At 46.0% G+C, this 21,013-nt stretch overlaps 1 protein-coding gene and 1 pseudogene across 3 annotated transcripts in view, besides 3 other annotated features; both read left to right on the top strand.

The window, feature by feature from the left end:
• Positions 2,963–3,255, top strand: RN7SL586P (RNA, 7SL, cytoplasmic 586, pseudogene; annotated as a pseudogene).
• Positions 7,569–7,742: a silencer, noted in NCBI's record as "fragment chr14:73502840-73503013 (GRCh37/hg19 assembly coordinates)". NCBI's record gives its function as "represses an EF-1alpha promoter that drives an FKBP-Casp9 reporter gene in an ReSE screen in K562 erythroleukemia cells {active_cell/tissue: K562}" and the evidence as "EXISTENCE:reporter gene assay evidence [ECO:0000049][PMID:32094911]".
• Positions 16,426–16,625: an enhancer, noted in NCBI's record as "active region_8692". NCBI's record gives its function as "activates an Ori minimal core promoter by ATAC-STARR-seq in GM12878 lymphoblastoid cells {active_cell/tissue: GM12878}" and the evidence as "EXISTENCE:reporter gene assay evidence [ECO:0000049][PMID:35858748]".
• The window catches only part of ZFYVE1 (zinc finger FYVE-type containing 1), a 57,662-nt gene continuing 53,416 nt past the window's right edge, over positions 16,768–21,013 (top strand). For all 3 annotated transcript variants that reach the window (NM_001281734.2, NM_021260.4, XM_047431481.1), the window contains exons 1-2: positions 16,768–16,948; positions 18,932–19,848. In NM_001281734.2, the coding sequence (NP_001268663.1) occupies positions 19,366–19,848 (483 nt within the window). In that variant the 5' untranslated portion in view covers positions 16,768–16,948; positions 18,932–19,365. The remainder of the gene's footprint in view (positions 16,949–18,931; positions 19,849–21,013) is intronic.
• Positions 16,856–17,065: a silencer, noted in NCBI's record as "silent region_5903". NCBI's record gives its function as "represses an Ori minimal core promoter by ATAC-STARR-seq in GM12878 lymphoblastoid cells {active_cell/tissue: GM12878}" and the evidence as "EXISTENCE:reporter gene assay evidence [ECO:0000049][PMID:35858748]".

The raw sequence follows: 21,013 nt of genomic DNA, 5'->3' as shown, positions 1-21,013 counted from the left end.
TCTCCTGCCTCAGCCTCCCTAGTAGTTGGGACTACAGGCATGTGCCACCACACCTGGCTAATTTTTATATTTTGAGTAGAGATGAGGTTTCACCATGTTGGCCAGGCTGGTCTCGAACTCTTGACCTCAAGTGATCTGCTCACCTCGGGCTCTGAAAGTGCTGGGTTTACAGGCGTGAGCCACCACACCCAGCCAGCTGATTTTTATTTATTTATTTATTTATTTATTTATTGAGATGGAGTCTCCGTCTGTCGCCAGGCTGGAGTGCAGTGGCACGATCTCGGCTCACTGCAATCTCCACCTCCCCGGTTCAAGCGATTCTCCTGCCCCTGTGTCCCAAGTGGCTGGGACTACAGCTGTGCACTACTACACCCAGCTAATTTTTGTATTTTTAGTAGAGATGGGGCTTCACCATGTTGGCCAGGATGGTCTGGATCTCTTGACCTCATGATCCACCCGCCTCAGCCTCCCAAAGTGTTGGGGATACAGGTGTGAGCCACTGCGCCCTGCCTGATTGTTATTTTTATTTTCATTTTTGAGATGGAGTCTCCCTCTGTCGGCCAGGCTGGAATGCAGTGGTGCAATCTCGGTTTACTGCAACTTCCTACTCTGAGGTTCAAGTGATTCTCCTGCCTCAGCTTCCCTAGTAGCTGGGATTATAGGCGTGTGCCACCACGCCTGGCTAATTTGTTGTTGTTGTTGTTGAGACGGAGTCTTGCTCTGTCGCCCAGGCTGGAGTGCATTGGTGCGATCTTGGCTCACTGCAACCTCTGCTTCCCAGGTTCGAGTGATTCTCCTGCCTCAGCCTCCCAAGTAGCTGGGATTACAGGCATGTGCCACCATGCCCAGCTAATTTTTGTATTTTTAGTAGAGATGGGATTTCACCATGTTGGCCAGGCTGGTCTCGAACTCCTGACCTCAGGTGACCACCCGCCTTGGCCTCCCAAAGTGCTGGGATTACAGGTATCAGCCACCGTGCCTGGCTTTTTTTTTTTTTTTGTATTTTTAGTAGAAACGGGGTTTTACCTTGTTGGCCAGGTTGGTCTTGAACTCCTAACCTCAAATGATCTGCCTGCCTTGGCCTCTCAAAGTGCTGGGATTACAGGTGTAAGCCACCACACCTGGCCTGTTTTCTTTTTCTTTTATTTTAAGAGACAGGGTCTTTACTATATTGCCCAGTCTGGTCTTGAACTCCTGGATTCAAGAAATCCTCCTACCTTGGCCTCCCAAAGTGCTGGGATTACAGGCATGAGCCACCGTGCCCGGCCCTTTGTTTTTTATTTGAGATGGCATCTTGCTCTGTTGCCCAGGCTGAAATGCAGTGGTGCAATTTTGGCTCACTGCAACCTCCGCCTCCTGGGTTCAAGCGATTCTTCTGCCTTAGCCTCCCCAGTAGCTTGGACTACAGGTGTGTGCCACCACACCTGGCTAATTTTTGTATTTCTTTCTTTTTTTTTTTTTTTTTGAGATGGAGTCTCGCTCTGTCACCCAGGCTGGAGTGCAGTGGTGCAATCTCGGCTCACTGCAAGCTCTGCCTCCCTGGTTCAAGCGATTCTCCTGCCTCAGCCTCTAGAGTAGCTGGGATTACAGGTGCACGCCACCATACTCAGCTAATTTTTGTATGTTTTGTAGAGACGGGGTTTCAGCATGTTGGCCAGGCTGCTCTCAAACTCCTGACCTCATGATTCACAAGCCTCAGCCTCCCAAAGTGCTGGGATTAAGTGATGAGCCACTGCAGCTGGTGTTTTTTTTTGTTTGTTTTTTTGTTTTTTTTGTGTTTTTTTTTTAAGACAGAGTCTTACTCGGTGCGCAGGCTGCAGTGCACTGATGGGATCTCAGTTCACTGTGACCTTCACCTTCCAGGTTCATGTGATTCTCCTGTCTCAGCCTCTGGAGTAGCTGGGACTTCAGGCACATGCCACCACACCTGCCTAATTTTTTGTATTTTTAGGGGAGACAGGGTTTCACCATGTTGGCCAGGCTGATCTGGAACTCCTGACCTCAAGTGTTCCACTGCCTGGCCTCCCAAAGTGCTGGGATTACAGGCGTGAGCCACCGCACCTTGCCTCTTTTTTTTTTGTTTGTGTTATTTTGTTTTGAGACGGAGTCTGTCTATGTTGCCAAGGCTGGTCTAGAACTCCTAGGCTCAAGTGATCCCACCAGAGAGATCAAAACAAACAACTGAAATTCTTTGAGTATAATGTCTGTTCTGCTCCCTCTGGTACTGGGCACTCTTACTGTGAACACGGTGCATCTTCAAGGTCTCTTTTGTGCTGAGGAACAGGGGAAGGTTCAGCATAAGGTACAATGTCACAAAGCTCTTCTATGAAGATTCAGTTGTTTTTTTTTAACTAAGCATTTCCTCAGTTGTGGCAAGGTTCCGATGAGTAGCCAGAGTTCTGAGAATGATCATTCTGTGAGTTTCTGTCAGTTTATCCATGGTCCTTGTGGAGGGACAGACCAGGTGTTCCTTATGCCACCATTTTCACCAGCTTCCCCTGTTTCTTCTCCTGTTTCCCATCCCAGTAAGTTCTTTATCATATCCAATTGCTGAGATGTTATCCTGGGCATTATTCCTTATTTTCTCTCTCCTCTACAAACCCTTACACGCCTGCCTATTGCCCTCAGTATAAAATGCAAACCTGACAATCTAATTTACAAGCTCCATCACAGGCCAGGTGTTGCCCAGGCTAGAGCGCAGCCTCAGTTCACTGCAACCTTTGCCTCCTGGGTTCAAGCAATTCTCCTGACTCAGCCTCCTGAGTAGCCGGGATTACAGCCACGTGCTACCGCACCTGGCTAATTTTTGTATTTTTAGTAGAGATGGGGTTTTGCCATATTCCAGGCTAGTCTTGAACTCTTGGCCTCATATGATCTGCCCGCCCCAGCCTCCTAAAGTGCTGGGATTACAGGCGTGAGCCACCGCACCTGGCCCCCACCATTTAAAAATGTAAAAACCACTGGGCACAGTGGCATGTTCCTATAGTCCCAGCTACTCGGGAGGCTGAGGCAGGAGGATTGCTTGAGCCCAGGAGTTCTGGGCTGCAGCACATGATGCCAAATGGTTGTCTGCCCTAAGTTCAGCATCAATATGGCGACCTCCCAGGAGCGGGAAACCACCAGGTTGCCTAAGCGGGGGTGAACCAGCCCAAGTCGGAAACAGCAGATGAAAATTCCAGTGTTGCTCAGTAGTGGGATCACACCTGTGAATAGCCACTGCACTACAGCCTGGGCAACATGGTGAGACCTGTCTCTTAAAATTAATAAATAATGTACAAACCTTTTTTTTTCTTTTTGAAATAGAGTCTGCTTTGTGGCCCTGGCTGGAGTGCAGTGATTGGTTCAGTCTTGGTTCACTGCAACCTCCGTCTCCCAAATTCAAATGATTCTTGTGCCTCAGCCTCCTGAGTCGCTGGGACTACAGGCGCGTGCCACCACACCCGACACATTTTTGTATTTTTAATAGGAATGAGGTTTCACTGTGTTAGCCAGGCTGGTCTCGAACTCCTGGCCTCAAGTGATCCACCTGCCTCAGCCTCCCAAAGTGCTGGGATTACAGGCCTGAGCCACCGTGCCCAGCCTAAAATCATTCTTACCTTGTGGGCCATACAATAACAGGTGGCGTGTAGTTTGGACATCCTTCATGTAGATAAAATAATCTCTGCAATTCCTTCCTGTTCCAAAATGCCATAATTACTATATGTAAATCAGCCTCTCCCCCAAATCTATCCAAACGTATTTATCCTACAGCCTTTCCCTAAGGGCTGTTTTCTGTTTTTTCCAGGTAAGAGGTAAATACAGTAATATGATAAATGAATCCTTTTTGGATGCATTTTAGCAGGAATCCTGGAGAATTTGTCCCTGATATCCCTTTAAGGGATTCATTTTGAGGTCAGTTTTTTCATGCCAAGGGAAAGACTCTTTGAGGCTCTTCAGCTCATCTCTAATTTCTCTGGTTCTAGGCCTTTCCACTGTTGGCTGCACATTAGAATCATCTGGGAACCTTTGGGGGAAAAGCAAAAGCAAAACAGAATACTGATACCAGGCCTAATAAATCAGATTCTCCAGGAGCAGAGACTGGACATCAATATTTTTTTAAAAACCCAAAAACCTTCAGATGATGTTAAAGCAGAATCAGGGTTGAATACCAATGTGTTTTTCAATTACTTAGAGGCTCCAGTTGTATTTACAAATTTTGGTGTGCATAATAGTCACTGTGGTACTTGTTAAACAAGGAGATTTTCCTCGCTCCACCCCTAGAGATTATAATTCAGTAGATCTGAGTGGGGTTTAGGAATCTACATTTTTAAGTGGCCCAGGTAACTTTTATTTGGGTGCTATGAAGCCATCACTGTAAGAGACACTACCATAGGTATTATGAATATATAAGTGAGTTGGAGATTGGTGAGCCTGTGTTTTCTCATTGTTTGTTTTTTTTTTTTTTGAGATGGAGTTTCACTCTTGTTGCCTAGGCTGGAGTGCAATGGCACCATCTCGGCTCACCATAACCTCTGCCTCCCGGGTTCAAGTGATTCTCCTGCCTCAGCCTCCCGAGTAGCTGGGATTACAGGCATGTGCCACCATGCCCGGCTAATTTTGTATCTTTAGTAGAGATGGGGTTTCTCCATGTTGGTCCTGCTGGTTGCGAACTCCTGACCTCAGGTGATTCGCCTGCCTAGGCCTCCCAAAGTTCTGGGATTACAGAGCCCTCACGCCCGGCCTTATTGTTTGATTTTTATGGTGATCTGTTAAACATGATTAATGTTCTACACAAGTTAATCTATGCCAATAGAAGTGAAAAGACTGGGCCGGGCGTGGTGGCTCATGGCTGTAATCCCAGCACTTTGGGAGGCCAAGGCGGGTGGATCATCTGCTGGTCAGGAGTTCGAGACCAGCCTGGCCAACATGGTAGAACCCTGTCTCTACTAAAAATACAAAAATTAGCTGGGCATGGTGGCAGGCGCCTATAATCCCAGCTAGTTGGGAGGCTGAGATAGGTTCAAGAATCCAGGGTTCAAGCAATTCTGCCTCAGCCTCCCGAATAGCTGGGATTACAGGCGTGCGCCACTACACCCAGCTAATTTTTGTATTTTTAGTAGAGATGGGGTTTTGCCATGTTGACCAGGCTGGTCTGGAACTCCTGACCTGAAGTGATCTGCCTGCCTCGGCCTCCCAAAGTGCCGGGATTACAGGCATGAGCCACCGAGCCCAGCCATCTTTATTATTTTCTTCTCTTTGCTTATTTTGGATGACTTGAGCCCAGGAGTTTGGGCAACCTAACAAGACTCCCATCTCCACAAAAAATTTTAAAAATTAGCTGGGTATAGTGGCACACACCTATAGTCTCAGCTACTTGAGAAACCGAGGCAGGTGGATTGCTTGGGCCCAGGAGGTCAAGGCTGCTATAAGCCATGATTGCATTGCTGCAGTCTATTAAGTTTCAACATGAATTTTCGAGGGGACACAAACATTCAAACTATAGCAGGTATTTTCTGACATTCTTCATTCTTTTGTGTGAATCTAATTGCCCTCTGATATCATTTTCTTTCTGCTTAAATAATGCTCTTTTTTTTTTTTTTTTTTTTTTTTTTTTGAGATGGAGTCTCACTCTTGTCGCCCAGGCTGGAGTGCAATGGTGCAATCTCGGCTCACTGCAACCTCCGCCTCCTGGGTTCAAGTGATTCTCCTGCCTCAGCCTCCCATGTGGCTGGGATTACAGGTACCCAACACCACGTCTGGCTAATTTTTGTATTTTTGTAGAGAAGGGGTTTCACCATGTTGGCCAGGCTGGTCTCAAACACCTGACCTCAGGTGATCCACCCACCTCGGCCTCCCAAAGTGCTGGGATTACAGGCGTGAGCCACCACGCCCGGCCTAAATAACATTCTTTATCATTTCCTTATAGTGCAGGTCTGCTTATGATTAATTTCCTATGATTTGGTTTGTTTGAAATGTCTTCATTTTGCCTTCATTTACATATTTGATTATTACAATAGCTGAGAATCTCAGCGGTAAAAATATATTATTTATTATTGATTCTTATTCATGGAGACTTGTTTTTGTGAGTTCATGCTTAGCTTAAGTTTATTTGTGACAAACTTAGAAGTTTGAGTTGAGGAGGTTTCTTCCAAAGAAGGTTTGCAATTTATATTTGCTGTGTGCCAAAGTGCAGTACCACCTTGGGGTCACTAGAATTCAACACTCAGACCCTAAAAAATGAGAGTAAAACTATGTTCACAAATTCTCAGAAGACACTTTTTTTTCCTTTTTATTGAGATGGAGTTTTGCTCTTGTTGCCCAGGCTGGAGTGCAAAGGTGCAATTTTGGCTCACTGAAACCTCTGCCTCTCAGGTTCACGAGATTCTCCTGCCTCAGCCTCTCGAGTAGCTGGGATTACAGGCATGCACCACCATGCCTGGCTAATTTTTGTATTGTTAGTGGAGATGGGGGTTTCACCATGTTGGACAGGCTGGTCTTCAACTCCTGACCTCAAGTGATCCATCTGCTTCAGCCTCCCAAAGTGCTGGGATTACAGGTGTGAGCCATTGCACCTGGCATTTTATTTTTTTTTTAGTGTTTTCCTCTGTTGCCCTGGCTGGAGTGCAGTGACTCAATCTTGGCTCATTGCAAGCACCGCCTTCTGGGCTAAAGTGATTCTCGTACGTCAGCCTCCTGAGTAGCTGAGATTGATTACAGGAATGCACCACCATGCCCGGCTAATTTTTGTAGTTTTAGTAAAGGCAGGATTTTACCATGTTGGCCAGGCTGGTCTTGAACTCCTGGCTTCAAGTGATCTGTCTACCTTGGGCTCCCAAAGTGCTGGGATTACAGATGTGAGCCACTGCGCCTGGCCTGCACCCAGTTAATTTTTAAATTTTTTGTAGAGATGGGGTCTCACACTTTTGCCCAGGCCGATCTTGAACTCCTGGGCTCATGCAATCCTCCTGCCTAGATCTCCTACATTGCTGCGCTTACAGGTGTGAGCCACTAGGCCTGGCTCCTTTTTTTTTGAGATGAAGTTTCGCTCTAGTTGCCCAGGCTGGAGTGCAATGGCATGATCTCAGCTGACTTCAACCTCTGCCTCCTGGGTTAAAGCGATTCTCCTGCCTCAGCTTCCTGAGTAGCTAGGATTACAGGCACCTGCCACCATGCCTGGCTAATTTTTTGCATCTTTAGTAGAGATGGGGTTTCACCATGTTGGCCAGGCTGGTCTCGAACTCCTGACCTCAGGTGATCCACCTGCCTCGGCCTCCCAAAGTGCTGGGATTACAGGCCAAGACTGCGCCACTGCACTCCAGCCTGGGCAATAGCGTGAGACTCTGTCTTAAAAAAAAAAAAAAAAAAAATTAGGTGCCTTTCTCCAAGCTGAGAAATGGAGAAGGAAGCAAAGTGTTGAGTGTATCATTTGAGTTCCAGATTCAGCTTTGGCTAAAACTGTCATATCTCAGATTGTTCAGTTATGTAAGCCAATACATTTCTTTTATTGATTAAGGCAGTTTGATTTGTAATTTGTCTTAATTAATGGAAGAAAGATGTTGCTCATAGTTCAGCAGGACTTAAATGTAATTTGATGAAATATGTTATCATACTTATTTATTTATTTATTTATTTATTTTGAGACAGAGTTCACTCTTGTTGCCCAGGCTGGAGTGCAACGGCATGATCTCGGCTCACCGCAACCTCCGCCTCCCGGGTTCAAGCGCTTCTCCTGCCTCAGCCTCCCGAGTAGCTGGGATTACAGGCATGCGCCACCATGCCCAGCTAATTTTGTATTTTTAGTAGAGACAGGGTTTCTCCATATTGGTCAGGCTGGTCTCGAACTCCCGACCTCAGGTGATCCGCCCGCCTCGGCCTCCCAAAGTGCTGGGATTACAGGCCTGAGCCACCGTGCCCGGCCATACTTATTTACTTATTTATTGAAACAGGGTCTTGCTCTGTCACCCAGGCTGGAGTGCAGTGGCGCGATCTCGGCTCACTGCAACCTCCGCCTTCTGGGTTCAAGCAATTCTCCTACCTCAGCCTCCCAAGTAGCTGGTACTATAGGCATACGCCACCACTCCAGGCTAATTTTTTGTATTTTTAGTAGAGACGGGGTTTCACCATATTGGCCACGCTGGTCTCGAACCCCTGACCTCAAGTGATCCTCCTGCCTCACCTTTCCAAAGTGCTAGGATTATAGGCGTGAGCCACCTTGCGGCCTATATTATCATATTGAAAGAGAAACAAATCAACCAGAAATAGAGTCGGTCAGCCATTTAAGTCTAGAAAAAGGAAAGTTATTTTAGCAACATATAGGATTGCTCCCGGCTTCAAGCGATCCTACCATCTCAGCTCCCAAATTGCTGGGATTACAGGTGTGAGCCACCACGACTGTAAACTGTGTGAACAAATGTGAACCTGAAAGAGCCAATCATTAAAGATGGATCCTGGGTGGCTGATTGTGCCTAAATTTAAAATAGAGCCAAGCAGCCATTTGCTGATGACTAGATGTCACACACACAGAGTTCTTCTCTCTCTCTCTCTCTCTCTCTCTTTTTTTTTTCTGAGACAGAGTTTCGCTCTTGTCCAAGGCTGGAGTGCAATGGCGCGATCTTGGCTCACCGCGACCTTCACCTCCCGGGTTCAAGCGATTCTCCTGCCTCAGCCTCCCGAGTAGCTGGGATTACAGACATGCGCCACCAAGCCCAGCTAATTTTGTATTTTTAGTAGAAATGGGGTTTTCCATGTTGGTCAGGCTGGTCTTGAACTCCCGACCTCAGGTGATCTGCCCACCATGGCCTCCCAAAGTGCTGGGATTACAGGCGTGAGCCACCGCACCCGGCCCACACTCTGAGTTATCTAAAAACCAGTGTTTATTTATTTATTTATTTTTTGAGACGGAGTCTTGCTCTGTCGCCCAGGCTGGAGTGCAGTGGCGTGATCTCTGCTCACTGCAACCTCTTCCTCCCAGGTTCAAGTGATTCTCCTGTCTCAGCCACTGGAGTAGCTGGGATTACAGGTACCCGCCACCAAGCCTGGCTAATTTTGTATTTTCGGTAGAGACCGGGTTTCACCCTGTTGGCCAGGCTGGTTTCGAACTCCCGAGTTTCAGTAATCTGCCCGTCTCAGCCTCCCTAAGTGCTGGGATTACAGGTGTGAGCCACTGCGCCCAGCCCAAAACCAGCGTTTTTTAAAACCTTGGTACTTTCAGAACTCACCTGAGCTGGCCGGGCGTAGTGGGGCGCGTGTGTAATCCCAGCACTTTGGGAGGCCTAGGCGGGCAGATCACTTAAGGTCAGGAGTTCAAGACCAGCCTGGCCAACAGGGTGAAACCCTGCCTCTATTGAAAGTACAAAAATTAGCCGGGCGTGGTGGCACATGTCTGCAATTTCAGCTACTTGGGAGGCTGAGGGAGAAGAATCACTTGAATCTGGGAGGTGGAGGTTGCTGTGAGGGGAGATTGCACCATGGAACTCCAGCCTGTGCTACAGAGTGAGAGAGATCCTGTCTCAAAAACAAACAAACAAACAAACAAAACACAACCAAAAAAACCATTCACCTGAACCAACCAATCAGAACTCAATCTGGGCTGAAGAGGCCAATCAGAACTGAGCTATATTGACCAATCAGAACTAAGCTAGTTTGACGCCTTCATTTGCATAAATGGACCTGATTGGAACTTGGGCAGGAACTTGTGCTATAAAAGCCGAACTGTCCAGCTGGACGCGGATGGCTCACATCTGTAATCCCAGCACTTTGGGAGGCCAAGGGGTGGGGGGGCAGATCATCTGAGGTCAGGAGTTCGAGACCAGCCTGACCAACATGGTGAAACTCGTCTCTACTAAAAATACAAAAATTAGCAGGACCTGGTGGTGTGCACCTGTAGTCCCAGATACTCGGGAGGCTGAGGCAAGAGAACTGCTTGAACTGGGCGGTGGAGGTTGCAGTGAGCCAAGATCCCACCACTGCACTCCAGCCTTGGTGACAGAGCAACACTCCATCTCAAAAAATAAAAATAAAAATAAAATAATAAAATACTGAACTGTCTCTTTAGTTTTTGGAGCTTAACTTCGTTTTACACGGAAGGCCGCATTTCTATAGTTTGCTAACTGTTCACTAGAATAAAAGCCTTTTTCCTCCAAATTCCTTTTCAGATATATATATATTTTCAGAGACAGAGTCTTGCTCTGTCGCCCAGGCTGGAGTGTATGATCTCAGCTCATTGCAACCTCCGTCTCCCAGATTCAAGCGATTCTCATGCCTCAGCCTCCAGAGTAGCTGGGATTACAGGTGTGTGTAAATAGCCACAAAGCTTGGCTAATTTTTGTATTTTTAGTAGAAACAGGGTTTCACTATGTTGGCCCAGCTGGTCTCGAACTCCTGGCCTCAATTGCTCCACCTGCCTTGGCCTCCCAAAGTGGTGGGATTACAGGCATGAGCCACTGCCCCTGACCAAAGCTTGATTTTTCTAGACATCCTGAGGCAAGTGGGACAGAAGACAAAGCCCAGGACCTGGGGGAAGAGGGAAATCTAAATCTAGGAACTCAGTCTACAGTTTCAGTGAGGGAAAATGGGAAGTAATTATATCTTTCCCCAACAGAGTGAAAAGAAAGATGTCTTGGAAGAGAGAGTTTGTGGAGGTGTGTGTGGGTGGCACTAGACCCATAAGCTAGCCCTCCCAGGGATATGTAGCCCAAATATACATCTCCTGGTGGTCAAAAATACAAACCTCAAATGGTGAATTGTTTCAAGTGTCCTTCTTTGCAGAAGCAAAAGCAAATCCTCTCTGGAGGAATAAACCTTTATCCTAGGCCTCCAAGAATTCCCACAAATATTTTCCAAGGAAAATGTGGCTCATGGTAAAAAATAACTTAGTGTGCAAAGAATGAGAATGAGTAAAGAAAACTGACATGAGAAACAGATCTGCTAATTTCAACGATCTGGTAAAAGAATAAAAGTAGGCCAGGCATGGTGGTTCATGCCTGTAATCCCAGCACTTTGGGAGGCCGAGGCGGGTGGATCACCTGAGGTTAGGAGTTCGAGGCCAGCCTGACCAATATGGTGAAACCCCAGCTCTACTAAAAATACAAAAATTAGCTGGGTGTGGTGGTGCTCGCCTGTAATCCCAGCTACTCTGGAGGCTGAGGCAGGAGAATTACTTGAACCCAGGAGGTGAAGGTTGCAGTGAGCCGAGATCGCGCCACTGCACTCCAGCCTGGGTGACAGAGCGAGACTCTGTCTCAAAAAAATAAATAAAATATAAATAAAGGCCAGGCATGGTGGCTCATGCCTGTAATCCCAGCACTTTGGGAGACCAAGGTGGGAGGATCATGAGGTCAAGAGATCGAGACCATCTTGGCGAACATGGTGAAACCCCGTCTCTACAAAAAATACAAAAATTAGCTGGGTGTGGTGGCACTCGCCTCTAGTCCCAGCTACTCAGGAGGCTGAGGCAGGAAAATTGCTTGAACCCTAGAGGCAGAGGTTGCAGTGAGCCAAGGTCGCACCACTGCACTCCAGCCTGGCAACAGAGTGAGCCTCTGTCTCAAAAAAAAAATAAATAAATAAAAATAAATAAATAAAATAGTTTATTAAACACCATTTTGTTCCCAGGAGATATATGTGTGTGTGTGTGTGTGTGTGTGTGTGTGTGTGTGTGTGTATAAACATATACATATATATATACACATATACACATATATACACACACATATATACACATATATACATATATACACATATACACATATACATATATATATACACACATATATATATACACACATATATATATACACACACACACACACACACATATATATATATATATATATATATATATATACACTTTTTTTTTTGATACAGAGTTTCACTCTTGTTGCCCATGCTGGAGTGCAATGGCACAATCTTGGCTCACTGCAACCTCCGCCTCCCAGGTTCAAGCGATTCTCCTACCTCAGCCTCCCAAGTAGCTGAGATTACTGGTGGCTGCCACCACACCTGGCTAATTTTTTGTATTTTTAGTAGAGATGGGGTTTCACCATGTTGGTCAGGCTGGTCTCGAACTCCTGACCTCAGGTGATCCACCTGCCTTGGCCTCCCAAAGTGTTGAGATTACAGGCGTGAGCCACTGCACCTGGCTGCAAGTGAGGTTTTTATTTTTATTTTTATTTTTTTAGATAGGGGTCTATCTTGCCCAGGTTGGTCTTGAACCCCTGGGCTCCAGTGATCCTCCCACATCAGCCTCTCCAGTAGTTGGGGTTATAGGCACCTGCCACCACACCAGACCCAAAGGTTCTATCTATACAAACACCACGTCCCTATGGTCATGTGTTACACATTCCAAATAGATTTACATCCCAGATGTAGTGGCGCATGCCTGTAGTCCCAGCTATTTGCGAGGCTGAGGCAGGAGAATTGCTTGAACCTGGGAGGCAGAGGTTGCAGTGAGCCAAGATCATGCCTCTGCACTCCAGCCTGGGCAACGGAGTGAGACTCTGTCTCAAAAAAAAAAAATATTTACATCCAGAAGGCAGGGTTGTGTTTGCTGTTTTTCCCATCATTTTATTTTCTTTATTTTTAGGAAGACGGAAAAGAGATGTGGGGGAGGGTTCTCACTATATTGCCCATGCTCTTCTGGAACTCCTGGGCTCAAAGGATCCTCAGGTCTCAGTCTCCAGAGTGGCTGGGATTACAGACATGCACCACCACCGTGCCTGGCTAAAGGAAACTTTTTTTTTTTTAGACAGAGTTTCCCTCTGTCACCCAGACTGGAGTGCAATGGTGCGATCTCGGCTTACTGCAACTTCTGCCTCCCAGGCTTAAGTGATTCTTATACCTCACCCTCCCGAGTAGCTGGCATTACAAGCAGGTGCCACCACACCTGGCTAACTTTTGTATTTTTAGTAGAGACTGGATTTTGCCATGTTGGCCATGCTGGTCTTGAACTCCTGACCTCAAGTTATTTGACCACCTTGGCCTCCCAAATTGCTGGGATTACTGGTGTGAGCCACTGTGCCCAGCCAAGGAAACTATTATGGCTCCAAGTTACTATAGGGGTAGTCCTATCTGAAGTCCAATGGCACCATCTCAGCTCACTGCAACCTCTGCCTCCTGGGTTCAAGCAATTTTCCTGCCTCAGCCTCCTGAGTAGCTGGGATTACAGGCGCATGCCAACACACTCGGCTGACTTTTTGTATTTTTAGTAGAGATGGGGTTTCACCATATTGGCCAGGCTGGTTTCAAACTCCTGACGTTGTGATCTGCCCGCCTCGGCCTCCCAAAGTTCTGGGATTACAGGCGTGAGCCACTGTGCCCGGCCCAGAAATTTTTTAATGTTTATTCTTTTTTTTTGAGACGGAGTCTCACTCTGTCACCCAGGCTGTAGGGCAGTGGTGCGATCTTGGCTCACTGCAACCTCTGCCTTCTGGGTTCAAGCAATTCCCTGTCTCAGCCTCCTGAGTAGCTGGGATTACAGGCGCCCGCCACCAGGCCCGGCTAATTTTTGTATTTTTAGTAGAGCCAGGGTTTTGCCATCTTGGCCAGGCTGGTCTTGAACTCTTGACCTCGTGATCCACCTGCCTCGGCCTCCCAAAGTGCTGGGATTACGGGCATGAGCCACTGCGCCCGGCCCTAGAAGTTGTTTTTAGAAAACAATTTCTCAGCCATGTTTCATAATCCAACCATTGGCTCTCTGCCCAATATTGAAAATATAATTTTCAGCAATTTAATCCTCATATATGGGTCATTATTATGTAGATTTGATTTTGCTAGTGGTTTACTTATGTCCCTGGAATCATAAGGTAAAAAGTATTGGACTTCAAGTCAGCAGATACAGTCTTGTCCCAGATTTGTCAATAATTTGTTGTGTAACCCTGGCAAGTCACTTAATCTTAGTTTTCTCTTCTGGGTTAACAATTATCAAGATAGAATCATAGTATGTTGGAATTGGCAGGGACTTCATTAATTACAATTTCTATTTTGTGGAGAGGTTGAGTGACTTACCCAACCACCTGTATAGTCAGGACGTTTTCTTTCTTTCTTTCTTTTTTTTTTTTTTGAGATGGAGTCTCTCACTCTGTCACCCAGGCTGGAGTGCAATGGCACGATCTCGGCTCACTGCAACCTCCAACCCCCGGGTTCAAGTGATTCTCTTGTCTCAGTCCCTCTAGTTGCTGGGATTACAGGTGCACGCCGCCATGCCTGGCTAATTTTTTGTGTGTGTGTGTGTTTTAGTAGAGATGGGTTTTTACCATGTTGCCCAGGCTGGTCTTGAACTCCTGAGCTCAGGCAATCCACCCGCCTCAGCCTCCCAAAGTGTTAGGATTACAGGCGTGAGCCACTGCGCCCAGCCTCTTTTTTTTTTTTTTTTTTTTTTGAGATGGAGTTTTGCTCCATTGCCCAGGCTGGAGTGCAGTGGCACAATCTTGGCTCACTGGAACCTCTGCCTCTGGGGTTCAAGTGATTTTCCTGCCTCAGCCTCCAGAGTAGCTGGGATTACAGGCACATGCCACCATTCCCAGCTAATTTTTTGTATTTTTAGTATAGTCATGGTTTCACCATGTTGGCCAGGACCTCAAGTGCTCTGCGTGCCTTGGCCTCCCAAAGTGTTGAGATTACACACAGGAACAACCACACCAGGCCTTCAGGAGCTTTTCTAGAGCAAGCAGTCAATCTTTGGCAACACAGACTCAGGCTTTCTTTCAATGTTGTTTCAAGAAACAAACAAAAAGTGAAAGCACTAAACAAATATAAGGCCATAAAAAAAGAAAAAAAAGCCTGATAAATGTTAACCATTAGCCTGCACTGTAGCCTGAAAACTTATCTGAAAATTTAGCCCATCTAACGCAAAGAAAATTTCTTTCTTTTTTTTTTTTTCTTGTTTGAGACAGAGTCTTGCACTGTTGCCCAGGCTGGAGTGCAATGGTGCGATCTTGGCTCACTGCAACCTCTGCCTCCCGGGTTCATGTGATTCTCCTGCCTCAGCCTCCCGAGTAGCTGGGATTACAGGTGCACACCACCACACCCAGCTAATGTTTTGTATTTTTAGTAGAGATGAGGTTTCACTATGTTGGCCATGCTGGTCTTGAACTCCTGAGCTCATGATCCGCTCTCCTTGGCCTCCCAAAGTGCTGGGATTACAGGCATGAGCCACCGTGCCTGGCCCTCAAAGATAATTTCAAATTGAGAAGTTCTGAAAGTATAATAGCTTTTTTTTTTTTTTTTTTTTGAGACAGAGTTTCCCTCTTGTTGCCCAGGCTGGAGTGCCATGGCGTGATCTCGGCTTACTGCAACCTCTGCCTCCCAGGTTCAAGCAATTCTCCTGCCTCAGCCTACCGAGTAGCTGGGATTACAGGCATGCATCATCACGCCCGGCTAATTTTGTATCTGTTAGTAGAGATGGAGTTTCTCCATGTTGGTCAGGCTGGTCTCGAACGCCCGACCTCAGGTGATCCGTCCACCTCGACCTCCCAAAGTGCTGGGATTACAGGCATGCGCTACCGCGCCCAGCCTGAGAAGTTCTGAAACTATAGAAGGAAAGATCAGAAAAATAATAGGTAGGAAAAAAAATTCATGGTTGGCTTGGAGAATACCCTTGAAGGGTGTTAAGTAAAAATGATAGGAGGCCTTTGTTTTGGACTAAACTCCTGCACCAGGCCCCAATAGACCTGGCTAAAATAAAAATGGAGTCACCCATGCTAAAGTTTCACCTCACCAAATCCAAACTAAGTTGTTACCAAACCCAAGCTAAGTTGTTATCTGACCTTCAGAGAAATCAGGAAAGAGGGATAAGGACAGCCAGTTTCCCAAACAGGCTTGTTTTAATGTTGCATGATAATGAAGCTCCCTCTGTTGTAATCCTTACACAAAAGAAGTAGCCTGAAGTAACTGATGTCAACTAATCAGTTATTTTTCTATTGTTCTGTCTCTCTGTCCTCACCTTCCAAGGAAAGTAGCTTAGAAGTGACCAATATGTCAAGGTCCCATGAGAAGACTGAAAAAAAGAGAAGAAAGAGGAAAGAAAAGAATGACAAGAAAGAGAAAGAAAGAAACCAATATGCTCTTTGTTCTTTGCTTTTGCTTCCTCAAGCTTTTCTCTGTCTACAAAGCCAACCTCTCCTGCTCAGCTCATCAGAACATTCACTCCACTTTCTGGAATGAAGTGTTGCCTGATCCTAGAGTCGCAATAAAGCCAACTGAGATCTTAAAACTAAATTCGTTGTAATTTTGTCCTTTGCCAAGGGGGGAAAAACAACAAAAACTTCCCAAGAGTACCTATATCCTCTTATCACTTTTTCTGGTCTTTTCCTTAGTTTTTGCGAAGTGAAATTGGGAAGGTGGAGACTGTCTGTGCTCACACGTTTCTGAGGGAATGGTGTGCAAGAGGTTACTTGAATCCAAATTAATTGACTCACCATTTCCCACTTATACTAGACATTATTACATCAGTTCTCTAATGTAGCACCATGCCTTCCCCAGTTACAACCCAAAAGAACGTGCTGAAACCTGCGGACACCACACTCAATGCAAAAACTCCAAGTCCCGAAATCCTCCGTAGCCTGTCCCCACCGCCTCCTCGCAAGAGCAGCCTCTTCAGTACTGGGAGTTGTAGTCATTCAGAGTCTTCCTTTCCGGGATGAGGGGCGAGAGCGCGCCTCGAGGAGCTACATCTCCCAGGAGGCAGTGCGCACTACGCCCTTGCTGGCGCCGGGATCCTCCCTCTCTCGCTCCTCCCTTTCTGGGCTGCACCGCTCACGCCTTCCTGTTAGTCCGAGCTGGGAGAAGTTCACTCCGATCAGCTGATCCCAACTGACAACAGGAGAGGAGGAAGCCCGGGAGGCAACGAAGGAGGAGGGTGGCGGAGATGGAGATGAGGATGGATCTGCCGGTGTCCTGAGGAATAGCCTCTGCCCCCACTGGCGCCCTGCGGCCCCCCGACGCCGCCTTGCTGCGGCCGAGCTTCTCAGTGGTGGGATCCCCGGGCCGCGGCGGGCAGGGCAGGGCGGGGAGGGCACGGCCCAGCGCGGGGCGAGTGATCGTCCTGGGGCTCAGGCTGCCCTCGGGAGGAAGGGGGGGCGGGTGCGGCGGGGGTGGGGGTGGGGTGGTATAAACAATGGATTCGGCTCCGGGTTTTGCCGGCGTGGGGGGGATTTTGGGGGACCTTCTTTGTTCTTAGGCTCCGCTCCTGCCCCTCGGGTTGTGGCGGTGGTGTCCGGGTGGAAGGAAGGGTGAGGAACCCCCGGCTGGGGAGAGGTGTCGAGGTGGGGGCCCGAGTGGGCAAAATGTTTGGTTGACATGGCCGGGCGTGAGGTGTACTTTTGAAGGTTGATTTTATATTTTTCTCAATTGTGACAAGTTTGATTTTTGTTTCTGTTTTGGGAGCTGGCTGGGCATGTCTGAGGTTAGATTGTAGTAAATAAGATCCCCTAGTCACTCCCTTCGCCTTCCTTGTTTATCTGAAAATAAGGTTGATAGATTGATTACTGTAGGGGAGGAGTGACTATCAGAAAGGCAGGGCTTTACACCTTGTCGGGGCCTTGGAATGCGGGTCAAGGCTAGGGGGAATTAGGAATATAATTGTCAAAGTGACAAAAGCCCCTTTCTTGCCCCAGTTATCTTTTTTCGTATTTTGAAGTTATTTTTAAGTTAGTTTTTAAGTGACAAAGAGAAAAATTATTTGTTTTGATTCACTGCAGGCCTGGCTTTGCCATGGGTCAAAGTAGAGGAATTGTCTCCTGTTGCTCCTTTTTTTTTTTTTTTTCAGTTAGTGAAAGAAGGGACAGAAGAATTACAGTGTAAAAAAATTGTTTTTAAAGATGAAATTGTTACTATTGTTTCTAAGTTTTGAGTCTTTAATATACATCTAGCTAGAGTTGAAACAATCCAGTTACAAGGCTAACCAGGTCGGCCCAGGTATTTGATAGATCTAAAGTTTATTATTACATTTTCATTAGCTTTGTGAAGGCCTCTCCACTCCTCCCAATTGTGGGATGCATGTGGGGGTGCAGAGGGCTGTCCTTCCAAGGACTACTCACTTAGTGATTTAGATTCTGAATTTAATATCTGAATGAACAGAAAATTCCAGTCTGGGAAATAGAGCAGCAAAGTCTCTTAAATGCCTTGGGCCTAGAGGTGGCGTTTGTTGTCAAGAGGAGGAGCTTTAGCCACAATTTTGAGATTTTTTTTTTTTTTTTTTTTTTTGAGGGAGTCTTGCCCTGTCTTCCAGGCTGGAGTGCAGTGGCAAGATCTTGGCTCACTGCAACCTCCGCCTCCTGGGTTCAAGTGATTCTCCTGCCTCAGCCTCCCTAGTAGCTTGGATTACACGTGCCTGCCACCATGCCCAGCTAATATTTGTATTTTTAGTAGAGATGGGATTTCACCATGTTGGACAGGGTAGTCTCGAACTCCTGACCTCAAGTGATCTGCCCACCTCGGCCTCCCAAAGTGATGGAATTACAGGTGTGAGCCACTGCGCCTGGCTATACAACAAGCCAGTGTAAGTGTTAAGATAGAAAATGAGATTTCTGGCCAGGTGCGGTGACTCACGCCTGTAATCCCAGCACTTTGGGAGGCCAAGGCGGGCAGATCACCTGGGGTCAAGAGTTCAAGACCAGCCTGGCCAACATGGTGAAACCCCGTCTCTACTAAAAATACAAAAATTAGCTGGGCATTGTGGCTAGCGCGTGTAATCCCAGCTCCTTGGGAGGCTGAGGCAGGAGAATCGCTTGAACCCGGGAGGCGGAGGTTGCAGTGAGCCGAGACTGTCCCATTGCACTCCAGCTTGGGCAGCAAGAGCAAAACTCTGTCTCAAAAAAAAAAAAAAGAAAAAAAAGAGGAATGAGATTTCTCTCAGCAGTTCTGGGCTAATATTTAATTTAGTCAAAAAAAATTTTTTTAAAGGTGCACTTCTGTTTTTTAGATGAGTGAAATCCTTTTCCTTCCTCTATTCTAGGTATCCCCTGAAATACTGACTTCAGGTCGAATTATATTGAAAAGCTCCTGACCACTTTCTTTCATTACCAAAACTTTGTAGCTGATGTCCAACCGATGAACCCACCACCGTGAACCCATCAGACCTCTCTCAGATAGCCATAAAAGACCCTTCCAAGTCAATTTTGACCACATCTTTGCTTGCACTTTATGGAGGATGAAACCATCAAACCAAATCAACGTTGCTGCTAATACAAGAGTCTTAGAGGCAGCAAATTAAAAATTTGAACATTTGTTTGTGAAGAACTATAACAGGACATGAAAGGTGTTCTTTTTTAAAGTGTTCAGAACCCTGTGGAAGTTTCGTGCAGTCTTCAGACTCAAATCTTCGTCTTCACCCCCGGGGCAAGCTCAGTGACTATTATATGGTGGGTGTGTTTCCTTACCAGCGTGAGTATGAGTGCCCAGACTTCCCCAGCAGAGAAGGGCCTGAATCCGGGGCTGATGTGCCAGGAAAGTTACGCTTGCAGCGGGACTGATGAAGCTATCTTTGAGTGTGATGAGTGCTGCAGTCTGCAGTGTCTCCGCTGCGAGGAGGAGCTCCATCGGCAGGAGCGCCTGAGAAACCATGAGCGGATAAGACTCAAACCTGGCCATGTCCCTTACTGTGACCTCTGCAAGGGTCTCAGTGGGCATTTACCAGGTGTTAGGCAGAGGGCAATAGTGAGGTGCCAGACCTGCAAAATTAACTTGTGCCTGGAGTGCCAGAAGAGGACTCATTCTGGGGGTAACAAAAGGAGACACCCTGTTACTGTGTACAATGTCAGTAATCTCCAGGAGTCACTGGAGGCAGAAGAGATGGATGAGGAGACCAAGAGGAAGAAGATGACTGAGAAGGTTGTGAGTTTCCTCCTAGTAGACGAAAATGAAGAAATTCAGGTAAGCACACGGGTATAGTGGGATTCATGTGTAGTGGAGCAGATCTGTTGTTGGAAGCCAGCTCTCAAAAAACGATGTCCAAGAAGAGATCACATTTTAATCATTAAAAGGCAAGACCTCTGGAGGCTTTAGTTGCATGGAGTCAGATTTAGTTACCAGCTGCATGACCTCTGGCCGAATTACTTTACTTTTCTGAGCCTTAGCTTTTTCATCTATAAAATGGGGGACAGCCTACTTCATCGAGTTGTGAGGTTGAAATGAGACAGTGTTTGTAGAGCCTGTCGCATAATAAATGGTCAGTGTATACGGTAGCTGTTGTTAGTATTAATTGTAGCATTATTATTAGAACAAACTGATTTAAAACATTTCAGAATGAGAGCACCCTGGCAAGCTGTGAGTAAATGTTAGTGATGCGGGACTGCACCTATCCAGGGAAACACACACTAACAGTGGGTCCCATGGGAGTGCTAGCTAATAAGGCATAAACCTGTTATCTTGATTTAAAAAGTGGCTTTTAATAAGGACAATATTCTTTCCAGATGGTCTCTTCATATATATATTATATATATAAAACATATATAAAATATATATATAATATATATAAAACATAAAATATATATTATATATAAAACACATAAAATATATATATTATATATAAAACATATATAATATATATTATATATAAAACATATATAATATATATTATATATAAAACATATATAATATATATTATATATAAAACATATATAATATATATTATATATAAAACATATAATATATATATTACATATAAAACATATAAAATATATATTATATATAAAACATATATAAAATATATATATATATATATATATATATATTTTTTGAGATGGAATTTCGCTCTGTCACCCAGGCTGGAGTGCAGTGGTGCCATCTTGGCTCACTGCAACCTCTACTTCCTGGATTCAAGCGATTTTCCTGCCTCAGCCTCCCAAGTAGCTGGGATTACAGACATGTGCCATCACGCCTGGTAATTTAGAATTTTTAGTAGAGACGGGGGTTCACCATGTTGGCCAGGTTGATCTTGAACTCCTGACCTCAAGTGATCCACCCGCCTTGGCCTCCCAGAGTGCTGGGATTACAGGCGCGATTGGCTGGTCTCTTCATATTTTCTTGTATAGGTTTC

The sequence above is a fragment of the Homo sapiens genome, chromosome 14, assembly GCF_000001405.40.
Source record: "Homo sapiens chromosome 14, GRCh38.p14 Primary Assembly".
NCBI lineage: Eukaryota > Metazoa > Chordata > Mammalia > Primates > Hominidae > Homo > Homo sapiens.
This window is presented reverse-complemented; position numbering and strand designations above follow the sequence as displayed.